The 16637-nt window shown below is 44.5% G+C and overlaps 1 protein-coding gene across 12 annotated transcripts in view, besides 1 other annotated feature; it reads left to right on the top strand.

Annotated features, from left to right (window-relative positions):
- The window catches only part of BCAR3 (BCAR3 adaptor protein, NSP family member), a 286411-nt gene that overhangs the window by 96672 nt on the left and 173102 nt on the right, over nucleotides 1-16637 (top strand). The gene's annotated exons all lie outside the window — the stretch shown is intronic.
- Nucleotides 12713-13912: an enhancer, noted in NCBI's record as "P300/CBP strongly-dependent group 1 enhancer chr1:94203124-94204323 (GRCh37/hg19 assembly coordinates)". NCBI's record gives its function as "activates an origin of replication core promoter dependent on BRD2, BRD4, P300/CBP, MED14 and CDK7 cofactors, with strong dependence on P300/CBP, by STARR-seq in HCT116 cells {active_cell/tissue: HCT116}" and the evidence as "EXISTENCE:reporter gene assay evidence [ECO:0000049][PMID:35650434]".

Here is a 16637-nt window from a genome sequence, read left to right as displayed (position 1 = left end):
CCAGGCCAGCTTGGTACCAGGTATAAAGTTACCCAGGTCAGAAAATGCAGAGGCTTCATTCCTTTCTTGAAAAAAGGGTATTGTAGGTAGCAAGTGGGAAAAGAGAGGAACCAGGGGAACCAAATAGATGAGGGCATAAGGGAAAGGCCGTCAGAGTGGAAGTCCAGAGGTTTATGTTGACAGTCTTCCTGTCACCCACTGCATGGGAGGAGTCAGCTGCAGCTTAGGGGTGGGCTTTGCAGTTAAGCCAAGCCGAGGTATCAGCCCCAGCTCTGCCACTTCCTCCCCATGGAACTGAAGTTGTTAGCCCCTTGGTCTTCAGTTTCCTCACTGTGTGAAGGGAAAATGATGACTTCCTCCCTGAGTTCTGGTCAGGATGAAGGGAGGTGAGTGTGCAGGGCTTGCCGGTGTGCCGGGCGTTTGGTGGTGTTTCTTGGTTACCATGGTCATTGTTACCCAGTGTGACTGTTCTGATTACGATGGCTGCATCACACACAGCACAAATTTAGTGGCAGAAAAACCCCAACTATTTTTTATCAAGCTTATGGATTCTGCGGGTCAGAAATTCAGAAATGGCACAGCAAAGAGGACTCATCACTGCTCCACGATATCTGGGGCATCATCTGGGAAGGGTAAAGATCCAGGGTATCTTGACTGTTGGAACCTGGAATCACCTCAAAGCTCATTCACTCACATGTCTTGAGCCTGACCTGGGAGGGCCTTGTTGGTTAGGACTGCTAGCCAGAGGGCCTACACGTGGCCTCCCTGTGTGGCTTCCCCACAGCGTGGTGGTCTCAGGGTAGTTAGACTTCTAACACAGTGCCTGGTTTCTCCCAGAGCAAGTGTCCCAAGAGAACCAGGCAGGCAGAAGCAGAATCACCTTTTCTGACCTAGCCTCAGAAAGTTGTGGCATTCTGTTGGTTGTAAGTGAGTCTCTAAGGTCAGCTGTCTGTATTCAAAGAGAAGGCAGCTCTGGATGGGAAGACTGTTAAAGAATTTTAAAACCGTCATAGTGACTATAGAAAATAATAATGCCTTATGCTCACAGAATGTTTACAGTTTCAAAAGCACATTCACTTGATCCTCACAGTGCCTTTGAGTGGTGAGCAGGACAGGTAGCAAAATCCCATTTTGCAGATGTGGAAACAGCCTCGGAAAGGCTGCCACTTCATTCCCCTGAGCTACAAGATGAAGAGTTTATACAAGATGCCCTCGCTGGTGCCTGAAATGCAGTGGTTTTCCGTTCCTTGCTGAAGGAGGCAGTCCTGAGCAGTTGGCTTTAGTGAAGGAAGCAGTCTGATCAGAACTCTGTTTGCTCTTTGAACAACTTCTGTGATTTCCTGGGCCAAACTGAATTGCTTCCACTTAGCTCACACCTGGATTCTTGAAGGCAGCTAATTTTAGATTCTTTGGTCTGGTGCCAAATATCAAAGGAGTTGAAAGAATAATCTTTGCTCAATTGTAGTACAAATTCCTTCAACTGAGACCAATTCTGGTGCCTCATATTAAGATAAGGAAACCCCCATTTATCATATATCTTTAAGCTGAAACATTTCAACCAAAGCAGGAGAAGCAAAAAAAAAAAAAAAATAAGTCAAGATCATCTTTAAGCAAATTACTCACTGAGCAAATATCAAGAACGAAGATTTTTAAGAGTATAAAATTACTAAATTTGTGCAGGTGCAATTTGCTTTACGTAATACTTGTGTTCCTGATTTGGTGAGTGGAAATTAAACATTTATACTTTAAGTCTATTTTAAATTGACTTGAAAGTAATGTGAGAATGGGGAATTTCCTAGTAAAGGCGCCTGTGCAAATTTACTTCCTAGTTTCAGTTTTGTTAATTTGGGTTTCTAGAGATTGGATTTTCTTTTCTTTTTTTTTTTTTTTTTTGACGGAGTCTCGCTCTGTCACCCAGGCTGGTGTGCAGTGGTGCGATCTCAGCTCACTGCAAGCCCCACCTCCTGGGTTCATGCCATTCTCCTGCCTCAGCCTCCCGAGTAGCTGGGACTACAGGCTCCTGTCACCATGCCTGGCTAATTTTTTTGTACTTTTAGTAGAGACGGGGTTTCACCATGTTAGCCAGGATGGTCTCGATCTCGTGACCTCATGATCCGCCCACCTCGGCCTCCCAAAGTGCTGGGATTACAGGCGTGATCCACCTCGGCCAGCCCATGATTTATATTTTTAAAAATACTGTGAGGAAAGGGTAATAAGAGGGAAAACCATGAAGAAACATTAACCAAAACTTAAACCCAAGTATGTTCTTCATTAGTGGCTCTGGAAGCCATAGTGAGAGATTAATATGCAATTACCACACACACACACACACCATTATTTGTTTGTGTGTGTGGGGGCCCACACACATACCATTATTTGTTTTGTTGAAGGATATAGTAACATTGCTTTGAGACCTATATAATGCCCTGTAGTTAATGCAGATCATCTTGTAATTCTAAACTTAATGATAATTTAGTTTTTAAAACTAAACTGGCACATTATGGTGGTGAGGCTACTTGAGGACCCAGTCAAATGTTGATTCAGCACCTTCGTTGTCTTCAGCATTGTGTTGGGCATTCTGGGAGCTAAAAGAAGCATAGGACACAGTTCCTATTCCCATGTACCCCAATCTAGCTGGAGGGCTGAGACATACACACAGTCCACAATGAACAAGCCAGGTTTGTATACAACATTATGTCAAGCAAGAATAGAGTTCCAGGCCATGCGACACTATGGAAAAATATGTAGGTCAGTATTTGAAGTGCTATTAATTGTGCAGACAATAAGAATATATAGGTCAGTATTTGAGGTGCTTTTAATTGTGCAGACAGTAAGGACAAAAGAAGATTGGTGCAGTGAGAAATAATATTGAGAGGGATGGTGACCAAAGGGGCTACTTCCCTTTAATGAAGAGCCAGAAATTAAAAATCACAAGATCATTGAATATGGCCGATCGAAGTCCAGTCTGGAATGGCATTAATAATCAAAGTATCTGATCCAAGGGATGGAGTCAGGTGCAGTGCTAAGGGCTTCTAGGTGGAAACAGTTCTTGGGGATGGGTAAATGACAGACTTGGAGATCAAGTTAGGTGAAGGAAAGGATATCGCAATTAGGATGCAACCCTTCGTGAATGGAGAGTAAAAAGGGAGATGGGTGCTGGTCAGTGGGGTATGGGGGAGCTGGCCACTGAAATGGAATTCAGAAGACAGTGCAAAAGCCCAGGCAAGCAAGCTAGCCCCAAACAGTGGACATTCAGCTGACTCTGCCCTCCAAGATGGGCAATGGCTATCTCTCTATGCTCAATCCCAGCACCTAGCTCAGTACCTAATATTGAGTGGGCATTCACTAAAGAAGTGTTGAATAAATAAATGAATGAATTAGGAAATGAGGAAGAAAGGAGGCACCTAGGACTCTGTTTACTCTAGGGACATTAGATCCAGGGCTCAGGGAAGCAGACATTTCTACTCACTAAAGGTGAGGGCCTTCCAATGAACCACCAGGGTTGGTTCTCAGTTGGGACCAGAGGCACTTGATGGGTCATTACTGCTGGCAGGTAATGTTGGAGCAGGCAGGACTCTCCAGGATCATAGTAAACAAAAGCCTAGAGGTTTTCATCAGTGTGGCATGTACAGGAAACACAAGCAGTTGGGTATGGCTGGAGCATAGCACACTGGGGGAAGTGGCAGGAGATGGAACCTGAGTGTCATGCTAAAGGGTTTAGATTTTATCCTCAAAGCAATAGAGAGGTGCTGAAAGATTCTAAAGAGCAAAGTAACAAGGTCCAATTTACATTCAGGAAAGACAGTTCTGGTAGCAGCTCAAATTATATGGAATGGGAGAGACGAGAGGCAGGGAAACTCACTAGGAGGCTGTTTTGATAGGGCAGGTGAGCACTAATGAGACCCTAAACTAACATAGTGGTGGTGGGACACAGGGGAGGAGACAAAATCAAGAGATATGTTCAAGGTTCGTTTAATCTCATTGGGTGAAGACAGACACCAGCAACTGCAAATAGGATGATGTGATGCTGTTACTCAAGATTGGAAGTATAAGAGAAGGATCCCTGTGGAAAGTAGAGGGTAGCCCCTATACTGTCTGCAACAATGCTGGGCACAGACACTACAGCTTGTGCTATTGGACACTGGACACTACTTCTAGAACCTGGACATAGCAGCATCAGTCCTCACCTGAACAGAGCCTACCAGTGCATGCCTTTTGAGCCTGGTTTCCCATTCAAAGGTGGCTTTCAGGTGCATCTGGTTGCCAGAGCCAAGGTTGCATGTGTGCACCCTAGCTGCAAGGGAAGCAGGAACCAGTATCCAGACTACCTCTCCTTCCCACCTAAACTCTTAAGGTGGAGACTTCAAAGAAGAAACCTGTTTAGAGGGGCTGCTCAGCCATAAAGAGTGATAAATGTCCATTAAAAATATGAAGAATGAAGAAAACAAAGAAGACCAAGACCACAGCCCTGAGGAAAGCCAATATTTAAGGGACAGAGGAGAAAGAGTTGGTGAAGGAAACGGAGAAGGAAGAAACAAGATAAAAAGAGATTGAGAAGAGTAGGAGTGTTGCAGAAGCCTTGGGAAGAGAGGGCTTTGAGCAGGACTGAGCAGCCATTGGATTTGACAGTTAGGAGGTAGCCAGTCACCTGTGGGAGAGCATTTTCAGGGGCAAGTGGGGGTAAAAGCCAGACTCCAGGGGTCTCAGGAGTGTGGGAGTTGTGTTAGTGAAGACAGAGTGTGGATCACCTTTAAAGACAATTTGACTGCAAAGGGAAAAACAAAGAGAAAGTCGAAACTAAGGAGTGGCTCAGAATGGTAGGGTGTGGAGTTGGGTTTTTGAGCCTGGGGCGCCTTGACTACATTTACAGGTGTACGTGCTGGGCAAACCTTGTGTTCACCGAGGATGCCCGCAGGCTGTGGGGAGAACAAATTTAATAATGGCCTCTCCCTTTCTGCTGCTCTGAGAAAGTTGCTCTGTTCTACAAAAGATATTAGTGTTCTTTTTAAGACTCTAAACTACCCATGAAGCTCTGTTTCTTTAAGGATTAAGAACATAGAAGGTCTCAACTTTACATCTAGTGTTTGCAAGTGTTTACTTCAAGAGGCATCCTGAAAGGCTGGAGGGAGGTGTGAGGGTTGGGGTGGGAGGCTTGAATTGAGCACAGCCTTGTAGCATCTTAGCCCAGTGCATCTCTTTCCATCTCCTAGACAGGACTGGCACCCAGCCATATTCCTTTGGACCTGGGCTGGTGGCTGCTGCTGCCACTCCCTTCTGTGCCTGTCCCAGAAGACTTGGCAAGTTAGATGCTCTTGACATCTTCTTACCCACATGCTTGCAAATCCCTGAGCTGATCCACAGCCAGCTGCCTTTTACCCAGTAGAGCACAAGGAAAGCATTAGGCTTCTGTTGAATTTTTCGTGCAAGTTGCAGCCTTCTATCATCCCAAGACCTCTGTCTCACCTTTAGTTTCACACAAATACTATGTTTAAGTGAATAAAAGCTTCTATCTTCTGAAGAGTTCTAAGCACTTTCACTTATCACACTCCCCCAGAAACATGCCCAGAGTAAAATATTTTTGGTTTTGTTTTTAATTTTTTAAAATAGAGATGGGGTCTTACTATGTTGACCAGGCTGGTGTTGAACTCCTGGTCTCAAGTGATCCTCCCACCTTGGCCTCTCAAAGTGCTGGGATTACAGGTGTGAGCAATCACGCCCAGCTATAAAATTTCTTAAAAGCCTTACTTTTCAGATGGGGAACTAATGAACAAGTAGATAGGGTTGCCTGCCTGCTACCCCTGCCTCCCCACCCCACACCTGGTTATGAACACCTGGAAGAGACAAGATGAGAATCCAGGACACTTTCTTCTGCACATCAAGTAGCAAGAGACAAGAGGCTATGGAATGTTTATTTGATTGTGCTGGTGATAGAGGGGATTCATTGAGGAGAAGAAAAATGGTGGGGGGTAGGAGAAAGATAAAAGCATCTTGATCTCCCACCTTTAATTTGCATAAAACATTTCAGCTCAAGAAGCTAACATTTGGTAATTTCTGAATAATCACAAGGGCCTGTGACAAAGCAATTCTGGAAACAACTGAGCCATGGGCCCCTCTGCTCTTCTCACAAACGCTGTTGTTCATTTGCTGAAGGGTGAACTCATCGGTCTTCAAAGCACCTAACTCCTTGGAGGTGGGCAGAGGCTGAATCCAACTGCCAACTCCCATCTGCACAGCCAAGCTGGCAGCATCACTTCTTTCCCTCCACTCCCAGTCACATGGCCAAACCAGCAGGTTCTTGGAGCATCTGCTTCTGCCCCACATGGTGGGCTCCACCTGGGAGACTTTCCATCACTGACTCTTTGAAAGAGTCTGTTTGTCTGTGGGAAAGAGAGTTGCTGTCACCCATAAAACTTCTGACCCCAGCCATCCAACAAGAGTGTACCTGCTGGGTAGGGTAGACATGTGCTTGCCTGATTTCTAGCTATGGTTCCCTGGAGGTAATTAAGTAAAAAAGAAATGCCTTTGGGTTTTGGCCCAGCTCAAAGTAAAATTAGAGAAGGCCTGGAAGGGGAAAGAGAAACTGCAGTTTGGGCAAATCTCTTTCATTTGTAGTTTCTTTCTTCTCTCAGACACCATGGCAGCTTTCTTCCTAAGGGGATTTCCTCGTGGGGAAGACATGAAACCCATTGCGTTTGACTGAGAATCCTGTTTAATGAAAGCAATAAATCATGTCAGTGAGGGAGGTCTAGAGAACTGAGCCAAGGAAGGCGGGACAGGGGTTTCTGCTGGCCTCAGGCTTGGTCCCCTTTATGATCGACAGTACAGTGGGAAAGACAAACGTTTCATGGGATGTGCCTGAGAGAGCCCAGAGGGAAGCTCAGGATGCTTCTAGCTTTCAAACCCAGCTTACCTCTGCCTTGAGCAGGGCTCTAGCTCCTGTGTATGCAGAAGGGCCAGCCTCTTCATCATACAATACAGATTGGTGGACTGAGAGAGATCCAAGGAAGGTCCCAGATTCTCTCTTGTACTCATTTGTTGCTAATGTAAAGTGCTACTATCGGAGAAGCACTTTACATTAGCAACATGGTCTTCTCAATATGACTACCTCTAAAGTAGGCTCATTTTATGGGTATTTACCCCTGTTGAAACGTATCCTCAGGAGGAAGAAAGGGACTGATCAGGACAGCTTGCCAACTTCATACTTTACCTGGGCCTAACCCTGCAATCAAGCACCATTGGGAATAAATGATTTTGCCATTAAATTCTAATGTGACTAAGACTCTCATCATGCTCTGAGCTTTGGCTTTCCAATCTGTAAAGTGAGGATAATAATGCTTACCTAACAGGGCCATTGCTAGGGTGAGGGGAGATTGCAGATATGAATGCCCTGGGTAACTGTAATGTACAGTGTGGGTGGTGGGGGCTATTCTTGCATACAGCCTGCTGCCTCCCAGGCCTCAGGCTAATCAGGCCTGGCTAGGTTAGATCCATGGGTCTTCCCTGCACTTTCTGTCCCCTCCCACTACACATCCCCATGCCCTTCCCTAGCATCCTTTTATGTGACATCGTGATATCATACTGTTGGCACCATTTAGCCTTAACCTTTCTTTTTAAGAAACAGACAACAGTAATGTGGACTGAGAAATGACAGGCACACAGACCAATCTATGATCTTTATACAAAGAGACACATTAAATAAATACCTATTTACATTATAGACAAATAATGTAGTCAGTGTACTTAGTTGTAGCTGGGTAAGAATGAGCTTGTCTGTACTTCCTGGCTGATTGAGTGCTCTTAGCAAAGTCCCTACAACATTTTTCAAACAGAGTTAACCTGGGAAAACACCATGTGCTTAGATCCAAATTAGACAGGTGTCTCAAGGAAAAACCATATCAGCGCTTTCTCCCTTGAGGTCCATGTTTTAACAGTGTACAGGGAATATTTGGTAAGTTTAAATGAATTTATTTTTTATGAACCTCCCAATGCAGAGGCTGTATGCTCCAGAGCAGTGGAAACTAAGCTGGAATATGTGAGATTTATGGAGCAATTGGGGCTGTTTACAGGACTCTTAAGCTCTGCCTGTATTACTAGCCCACTGATCTGGAAGGGTCACCTCCAGATCTGTCTTTTTTCTGGACTCAATTTTTCTCTCTTGCATGATGATAAAACTTTGAGAAAGTGCGATTAATTAATTTATGGTCTATTTCTCATTCCCTATTAGATGAAATGTTTTAAGAAAAAATACACAGCATAATTGTTTTAAATACACCTAGCACCTGTATTAAAAACACAGGTCTTCTGTTACCCAAACCAGTAATCTCTCAACTGTATTCACTTTGGCACTGTATCAACATTTTTTTCTGATAACAAAAACTGATCAAATATTTTTTATTAACCTATATAAAGAATTTGACTGCTTATGATTCAATACATATGATTTAATAAAATAGATTGCATTTTTTAAAATAAAGAATGATTTGAAAAAAGGCTTATGGAGTTAAGCAGAATATTCATTTTCTTTCCAGTTCTACTCAGTATGAAAGAGGCGGCATTTCAACACATGCCCTTTCTTCAGTTCCCTTCTTTATATGATGACATTTTGGCAAGAGGATTTCTTTTCTGTGTGGTAGCATTTCTGAAATAATTATATGTGGGTTTGTTGTTTGTTGTTTTTGAAATAGTAGGTTTACAAAAAAAGACCCCTGTTTCAATTTGTAAAATAATCTACTTCAGCAGAAACCTAGGAAGGTCTTGTCAGTGGTTTTAAATACAAGAGACTTTTAGTACCAGCAATTTTATTCCCAGACTAATTCAGCATGGGAAAGAGTTCACCAAAAACAGATGACAAGGATGAAATCTGTGTAGATAGAAAACTGCTTCTAATGGGTGAAAATCCCATTTTAAGCAGACCCAGGTGTGCAAGCCAATTAGAGAAAATGGAACCTGGCAAACGGAGAGAACGTTTCCAGGGTCCCCTGGGAGTAGCAGGTTTTAATCACAGCCTGTGTGAGGAACACTTAACTGAGATTTGGGAGATTATCAGAAACTATTAGCACCTAGTCAACTCAGGAGTCAATAAGCCTCTTGCTTTAAACTTTGAACTGTAGTTTTCCACTTTCTTCCTAAGACTATAAAGACACAGTTTTGGTGGTTACATGGAGCAACTCTGCTTGCTGAATTCTCACTCCAGAGAGCTCTTTGGATTATAGCAGGAGGCATAATCCAGCAAGCATAATGTCCCTCACCTTAATTCTCCTATTCCTAAGTCTTCTGGTTAGCAAATAGCTCTTCAAAAGAGACGTCTTCACTCTGATACCCTGCACCACTCACCTTCCCTTCTCCAGTGCCCTGGATAAATTCAAAGGGATATTTTAGGAGTGAGGAACACTGTTTGGAGATGCCAGACCCAGACAACTCTCCATTCTCCTGTCTACACTGAAACACCATGTGGTGGAGGCAGGTACACGGGCTCTGATTTAAATTAAGACTCCATCACTTACCATCTGGGTTAGATGGACAAATGATTTAACCTCTTTGGAGCTAGTTTTTAATCTGTCAATATGCGTTCCTTACCACATCATTGTGAAGATTAAATTTAAAAAATAAGGCCGGGAGTGATGGCTCATGCCTATAATTCCAGCACTTTGGGAGGCCAAGGCGGGTGGAACACCTGAGGTCAGGAGTATGAGACCAGCCTGGCCAACATGATGAAACCCTGTCTCTACTAATAATACAAAAAAATTAGCTGGGTGTGGTGGTGCACGCCTGTAATCCCAGCTACTCGAGAGGCTGAGGCAGGAGAATCACTTGAAGCCGGGAGGTGGAGGTTGCAGTGAGCCGATAGCGCCATTGCACTCCAGCCTGGGCGACAAGAGTGAAACTCTGTCTCCAGTAATAATAATAATAATAAAATAAAATAATAGCTTCCAGTTATTGAGCACTTGCTATGTGCTAAGCATTATTGTAAGTGCTTTATGAATATTAGCTCATTTAATCCTTACAACAACCTTATGAAGTAGTCACTTTCATCATCTTTGTTTTACTGAAAAGACAACCCGGGCACAGAGAGTAATTTCCCCATGGTCAGAGTTAACAAGTGTCACAGTGAGGCATCACAAACAGTCTGACCTGAGTCCATGATCTTGATATTGAACTGTAATGGCTTTGTGGAGGTATCAGGCATTAATAATAATATAGGCTGTTATTATTCAGCATGTTTTCCCCAAGTTGCAAGCCAGTATAAAAGTCTGGGCCCTGCTGCCGTTGCTGTCATTGGGATGTTGGGGCCTAACCACTAACCCCTACCATTAACTGATGTTAGTTACAACTTCCTTCAAGTGCCACATTCTAAATTACATTTCTGGCTCCATTGAGCATATTTCCTGAAGCCACCTAACAGATTTAGGCACTGGTCACTTGATGTCAGCCGAGCAAGGACTCTAGCTCAGAGACAAGCAGGCAAAAAGCCACGCTTTCACCCTGGCCATCTGCAGCTGTTGTCAATAAAGCCGGTTGCAGAGGATATGGAAGTCGGCAGACGCGCTTGCATCTAAGGGCTGAACACAAGGCTGTCAGCTGGAAACACAGCCAGTGCTTTCGGCTAATTCCTAACTTCCTATTAGAAATAAACAAAAAGCCCGCCCTACTGAATTTCCCACTTGGCTTCTCTGCTTGGCAGCTAGTCCCTAATGCCTATCACCTAAGATAGCAAAGATATTAGGCCGGGCTGCTGGACTAGAACAAAAAGGATGGGAAAGGCCGCCTCTTCCCTGACCTCTGCTCCGCTGAGCGACTGATCCTGTGGGAATCTAGATGCATCAGGGTTTTTGGGGCGGGAAGGAGCAGGGGCCAGCATGTGGGGTGAGGGGAGTACTAAGCAGAAGACAAAAGAAGGAAAGAATGTTGAGTGAGCAGAGTGGACAACAAGCTCAAGGACCCATTCCTGTTAGTGGTCTCCCTGCATCTTGCTGGAAGTTCAGGCCCACCCAGGGCCCACTGAGCAAGTCTGTCTTTGGGTGAGGACAGACCCTGACAGACTGATGGGACTGGGGTTGCAGGGAGATTCTGTCTGAGGATCTAGAGGCTGCTCTCTGTGCAGTTAAAAGTGGATGGCCCAGCTTGTGGCTGAGGCTGGAAGCCTCTCCCTCCACAGCATGCCCCTTTGACTTTGTGCTGTTAACGCCTGTGTCTGTGGGAAAGAACATCTCTGTGGACATGCTGAGTTTCCTAGGCCTGGATGCCACACACACCTAGCCATTGTTGTCGGCATTTGGTGTCACCATGAGCAGCTTCCTGGGTGACAAGATACCTGCCGGAGTTGACTTGACTTTTCTCCCCAGATGAAAATGCCTTCCTGTTGTGATTTTGTGCCACCACGTATCAAATTTGGGCTGGTATTTCGGAGGCTCTTTTCTTTTTCTTTCTTTCTTTTTTTTTTTTTTGAGACGGAGTTTCACTCTGTCACCCAGGCTGGAGTGCAGTGGCATGATCTCGGCTCACTGCACCCTCCGCCTCCCAGGTTCAAGCAATTCTGCTTCCTCAGCCTCCCGAGTAGCTGGGATTACAGGCATGGGCCATGATGCCTGGCTAATTTTTTATATTTTTTGTAGAGACGGGGTTTCACCATGTTGGCCAGGCTAGTCTCAAACTCCTGACCTCAGGTGATCCACCCGCCTCAGGCTCCCAAAGTGCTGGGATTACAGGCATGAGCCACTGCACCTGGCCAGCTCTTTTCTTCCATGTACTGTACTCATTTTTTAGGCATATTCCATCCCCTTAGGGCAGGGCTGAGTACGTAATTGGTAGGGCTCAGTGCACAATGAACATGTAGGGAGGGCCTCATTCTAAAGTTATTAAGAATTGCAAGATGACAATCGCAGAGCATTAAACCAGCTGTGGGATCCTTCCAGCTCAGGGCCCTGCATGCGTTCTAAGAGGCTACATTTCTATAGGCAAGGTTAACTGGGTCAAAGATGACACTATACATTTTTGGTCATTTTTTATTTTAGAATATTTTAATACTGTATTAAAAGATTAAAACATAAAGATTTTAATCAGTCATTACTAGTTCTTTTTTAAATATAGAGGTCCTTAAATTTGGGAGATATGAACATCTAGGCACCCCTTCTATTAACACTTAACTGATTCTAATCACTACTTAACCCTAATTTTCACCCATCCTTGAGTAGCACTGCATTTCCCATCTCACAGGCTCCTCTGTGGCTCTGAAATGTCTCGTCTTAACTGGAGTAGGGGTCATCTAAGGTTGCGGCAGCTGTCATGTAACCATGCCACCCAGAGAGGACAATTTCCCTGGGGAAAGGAAGTTTATTTCCCAGTTGTACCGCTTGAAACCCAGGGAGCAGAACCTGGGAGATTAACACCTACAGCACAGAGGACGAAAAACGTTCAGTATTGTCCAGCAAGTCAAGGTGGGAATTCCAGGAGATTAGAGGCAGTGCCAGGTGCCTTTCCACCAGTTGCTTGGGTGGGGTCAGGAAAACATATCCTCAGAGGACAGAGGCCAAGGCTTTGCCCCTCTGCTCTTCCCACGGCTCCTATTCTCTGGCCCTGGCTCTCAGGTTATCCTTTGTTCACCTGAAGGGTCCTAACTAAAGTTGCCAGATTCAACTAATAATAAATACAAAGTTCAAATTTAACTGGATAGACTGTATTTTATCTGGCACCCCCAGTCCTAACCCTGGCACCCCCCGCCCCACCCTGTCTTGGCTGACTCAGGACTGGCTTCTTAATGACTGTAACTGCTCCCCGACCAGTGCTCTCCCCACCAGCATCTCCCACCAGGCTTCCTTGGACTTAGCTGCTGATCTGCCTTGCCCTGCCCTGCCCAGCCCTCTGATGGGGACTTCACAGACAAGCTGTTAACCACCATGGAAGATGCCAGTGCCAGGCGGAGACTCATCTCCGACCTGCGGTCAGCTCTGCCGGGACCTCTGTGCATTCCTTCCCAGTGCAGCTCATCCTTGGCACTGAGACCCATGGCGGGGGAGGGCGGAGCACAAGCTTAGCTCCATCACCGGCCTGCAGGGTAGGCTCAGAGTGCATTGAGGTGGTAACTGTGGCTTGGGAATGCCTATTAGACAAGTTATTCTCCTCAATTTCATTTCATTTTAAATTTCCCTTTTTGGAAATGAGCATGAAAGTATTGAGTGTCAGGAATGTCCACATTTCTTGATGATATGTCATTGAATCCTCATAACAATACTATGAGGTGAGTAATATTGTCCCTACTTTGAAGATGAAAAAACTAAGGTTCCACCACCTTACTATTGGTAGATTTCAAAGCTTGAATTAAACTCTGATCTTCTAAATCCAAGCCCAGGAGCTGGGTGCAGTGGCTCATGCTTGTAACCCCAGCACTTTGAGAGGCCAAGGCAGGAGGATCGCTTCAAGCCAGGAGTTCAAGATCAGCCAAGGCAGCAAAGCAAGACCCCGTCTTTAAAAAATAAAAATAAAAAAATAAGGCTGGCATGGTTGTGCTTGCTTATCCTAGCTACTTGTGAGGTTGAGATGGAAGGATCACCTGAGCCCAGGATTTCAAGGTTACAGTGAGCTATGATCACATCACTGCACTCTAGCCTGGGTGACAGAGCAAGAGCCCATCTTGAAAAAAATTACCCCAAGCCCATGCTTTATTGTTGCACAGTTTCATCATTGACCACCCAAACAGAAACTTTTGAATAATTAATTGTTCATACCTCACTCTTTCTCCAATCTGATCCCTATGTCCTTATGATTTTGCCACTGAAATGCCTCTTGATACCACTGTATTGGCTTCCTAGGGTTGCTGTAACAAATGACCACAGACTGGGTGGCTTAAAACAACATGAATTTATTCTTACAGTTCAGGAGGCCAAAAGTCCAGAATCAAGATGTCAGCAGGGTCGGTTCCTTCTGGAGACTCCAAGGGGAGAACCATCCTGTGCCTGTCTCCTTGCTTCCGGTGATTGCCAACATCCCCGACATTCCTTGGCTTGTAGCTGCATCACTCCAGGCTCTGCCTCTGTTGTCACATGGCTTCTTCCCTGTGTGTCTCTCTGTGCTTAGGTACATCTCTCTCTCCTCTTTCTTATATAGGCATCAATTACTAGATTTAGGGCCCTCCCGAATCCACTATGTCCTCATCGTAACTAATTACACCTGCAAAAGACCCTATTTCCAAATAGGATCACATTCTGAGGTTCTGGGTGAACAGGAATTCTTGGGGGACACCATTCAACCCAGTACAACTGCTATCTCTCTACTCCAGACTTTCACCATCACCACTGTTCTGCTTTGAGGCTTTCCCCTCTCCAATTCATACATTGCTCAAAAATTTGCTTTCTGAAAAGCAAATCTGACCACAGCACTCCACAACTTAAAAATGGTCACATATCTAAATGGCTTCTAGCAGTGGTTCTCAAACTTGAGTGTGCAAAAGGATCACCTGGAGAGCTTCTTAAAACTCAGGTTAGAGAGCCCCATCCCAGAGCTTCTGATCCAACAGGAGAAGCTGGAATCTGCATTTCAACATGCGTAAGATGATTCTGATGCAGATGGACCGTAGACCATGCTTTCAGAAAGGTCTATAGCATAAAATGCAAAAGCCTAACAAAACCCAGCACACAGAAAGCACTCAACGAAAGTTAACCATGATGATTTTTTATTTTCATAGCTTTGCTCATTTTGCCTACTTTTCCTGGGAATTTTTTCCCTCCTTTTATCACTTGGAATAGTTTCTTTTATCCTTCAAAATCCAGTGACGAGGCCATCATCTCTGTAAAATCTTCCTGGACCCCCTTAGTGCCATATTAGTTACTGTCTTCTTGTCCATTCCCCCATAATTATTGCTGGTATTCTTTGTTCCATTACCATATTATGCAAAGGAATCACACATATTTCTGTCTACATACATGAACAGTTTGAGGGCACCTACCATTCTGTAGGGCTTAGTAGAGTGTCTGGCATATTTTATAATTAAACTGCTTATTGGCCAGGCACGGTGGCTCACGCCTGTAATCCCAGCACTTTGGGAGGCCAAGGCGGGCAGATCACCTGAGGTCAGGAGTTTGAGACCAGCCTCTAACATGATGAAACCCCGTTTCTACTAAAAATACAAAAAATTAGCTGGGTGCAGTGGCACGCGCTTGTAATCCCATCTACTCAGGAGGCTGAGGCAGGAGAATAGCTTGAACCAGGGAGGTGGAGGTTGCAGTAAGCCGAGATCGCGCCATTGCACTCCAGCTTGGGCAACAAGAGTGAAACTCCATCTCAAAAACAAAAAATAAATAAATAAACTTCTTATCACATCTCTTCATACAATTGAATGTTCAATTTATTGTTTTAAAATGGAATTGCATGATTCTTTTCTTAATTTAATTCAATAATTATACTAGCTCCTCTTTCTTCCTACCACGCTGTCTGTTTTCTCTCTCCCAGATGCTCCAAGTTTCACACTGTGGTCAGTGTGCAGTGACTAGTCTGGCTGGATTGTTTTGCATTCCAAATACCTTATTTAGGAACTAGGGCTTACCACCCACTCATAGATACAACCCTCAATTCTGGTGGCAGGAATGTTCTTTCTCTGCTCTGCCTGCAGAATCCATAGGAAGGCCACCAAATGCTGTGCTTCAAACTCCTAAGGAAGTTTGGCTCCTACCAGTGGAAGCTAGAAGCTTATTTACTGGCGCAGGCCATGGAAGCGAGCTGCCTTGGTCCAAAATATCATCTTTTCTCTCTGAGAATATTATCTCAAGACCACTTTATGCAATAAATGGATAAATGAGCTTTTCATGGGCCTGTAAAGATTTTTGAGACTTGAAAAACTATATGTATTTTTCAAAATAAGGAAAGGAAACTCCAGAATCAAAATTGATAAATTGAATTAAATGTCTACAAAATATAAAATGATTCCAACTAGCCAGCTGCATCTGAGCTCAACTCTGATGTGGTTATATATGTTCTATTTCATGTGGAGCACATTTTAATAATTTTTTAATATGGGATGTGGTCTCCGAAAGCAAAAGTGCCTGATGTTTGGGAAGTTCTCAAAATGATCCCATGTTGTCTGCCATGACAGAGCTCACGGCTTTGAGTGGAGTCCATGTGAGGAGTGGGAGAGGAGGGTCCTTATCTGGACAGTCAGATCCAGAGAATCACATGGAAAATCATCCCACAATCCAGGCTTTTGGAATGTGGTTCCACATGTGAAAGAGCATTTGTGTAGATGATTGCTGCTCAGCTTTTGACACTGAGGTCCAAGCCAATTCTGACCAGGCCAGAGGGGGCACCAGAGGCCCGGATCCACCAAACCCAAAGGGCCTAAAACTCACATTGTTTGCATTGCATCAACAAATATCTACTGAGCCCTGTTATGTGTCTAGAACTCTGCTAGTGATGGGGAACACCACAGTGAGCAAGATAGGCACCATCCCTGCCTCAAGGAGCTTACAGAGCAGTTAAACAAACTCCAAGAAGCTAACCACCAATAGAAGAAGGAATGCAAAGGGATGTGCAGATTATCATGGGTGTCTGGTAGAGAGGTTAACCTAGTCTGGGAGTGAGGGAGGACCACTCAGAGGAACTAACATTTAGTATGATAACTGAAGGGTGAGTAGGAGTCAGCCACAGGAAAG

This window comes from Homo sapiens, chromosome 1, assembly GCF_000001405.40.
Source record: "Homo sapiens chromosome 1, GRCh38.p14 Primary Assembly".
Lineage (NCBI taxonomy): Eukaryota > Metazoa > Chordata > Mammalia > Primates > Hominidae > Homo > Homo sapiens.
Note: the sequence above shows the minus strand (reverse complement) of the source record. Positions and strands in the feature narration are given on the sequence as shown.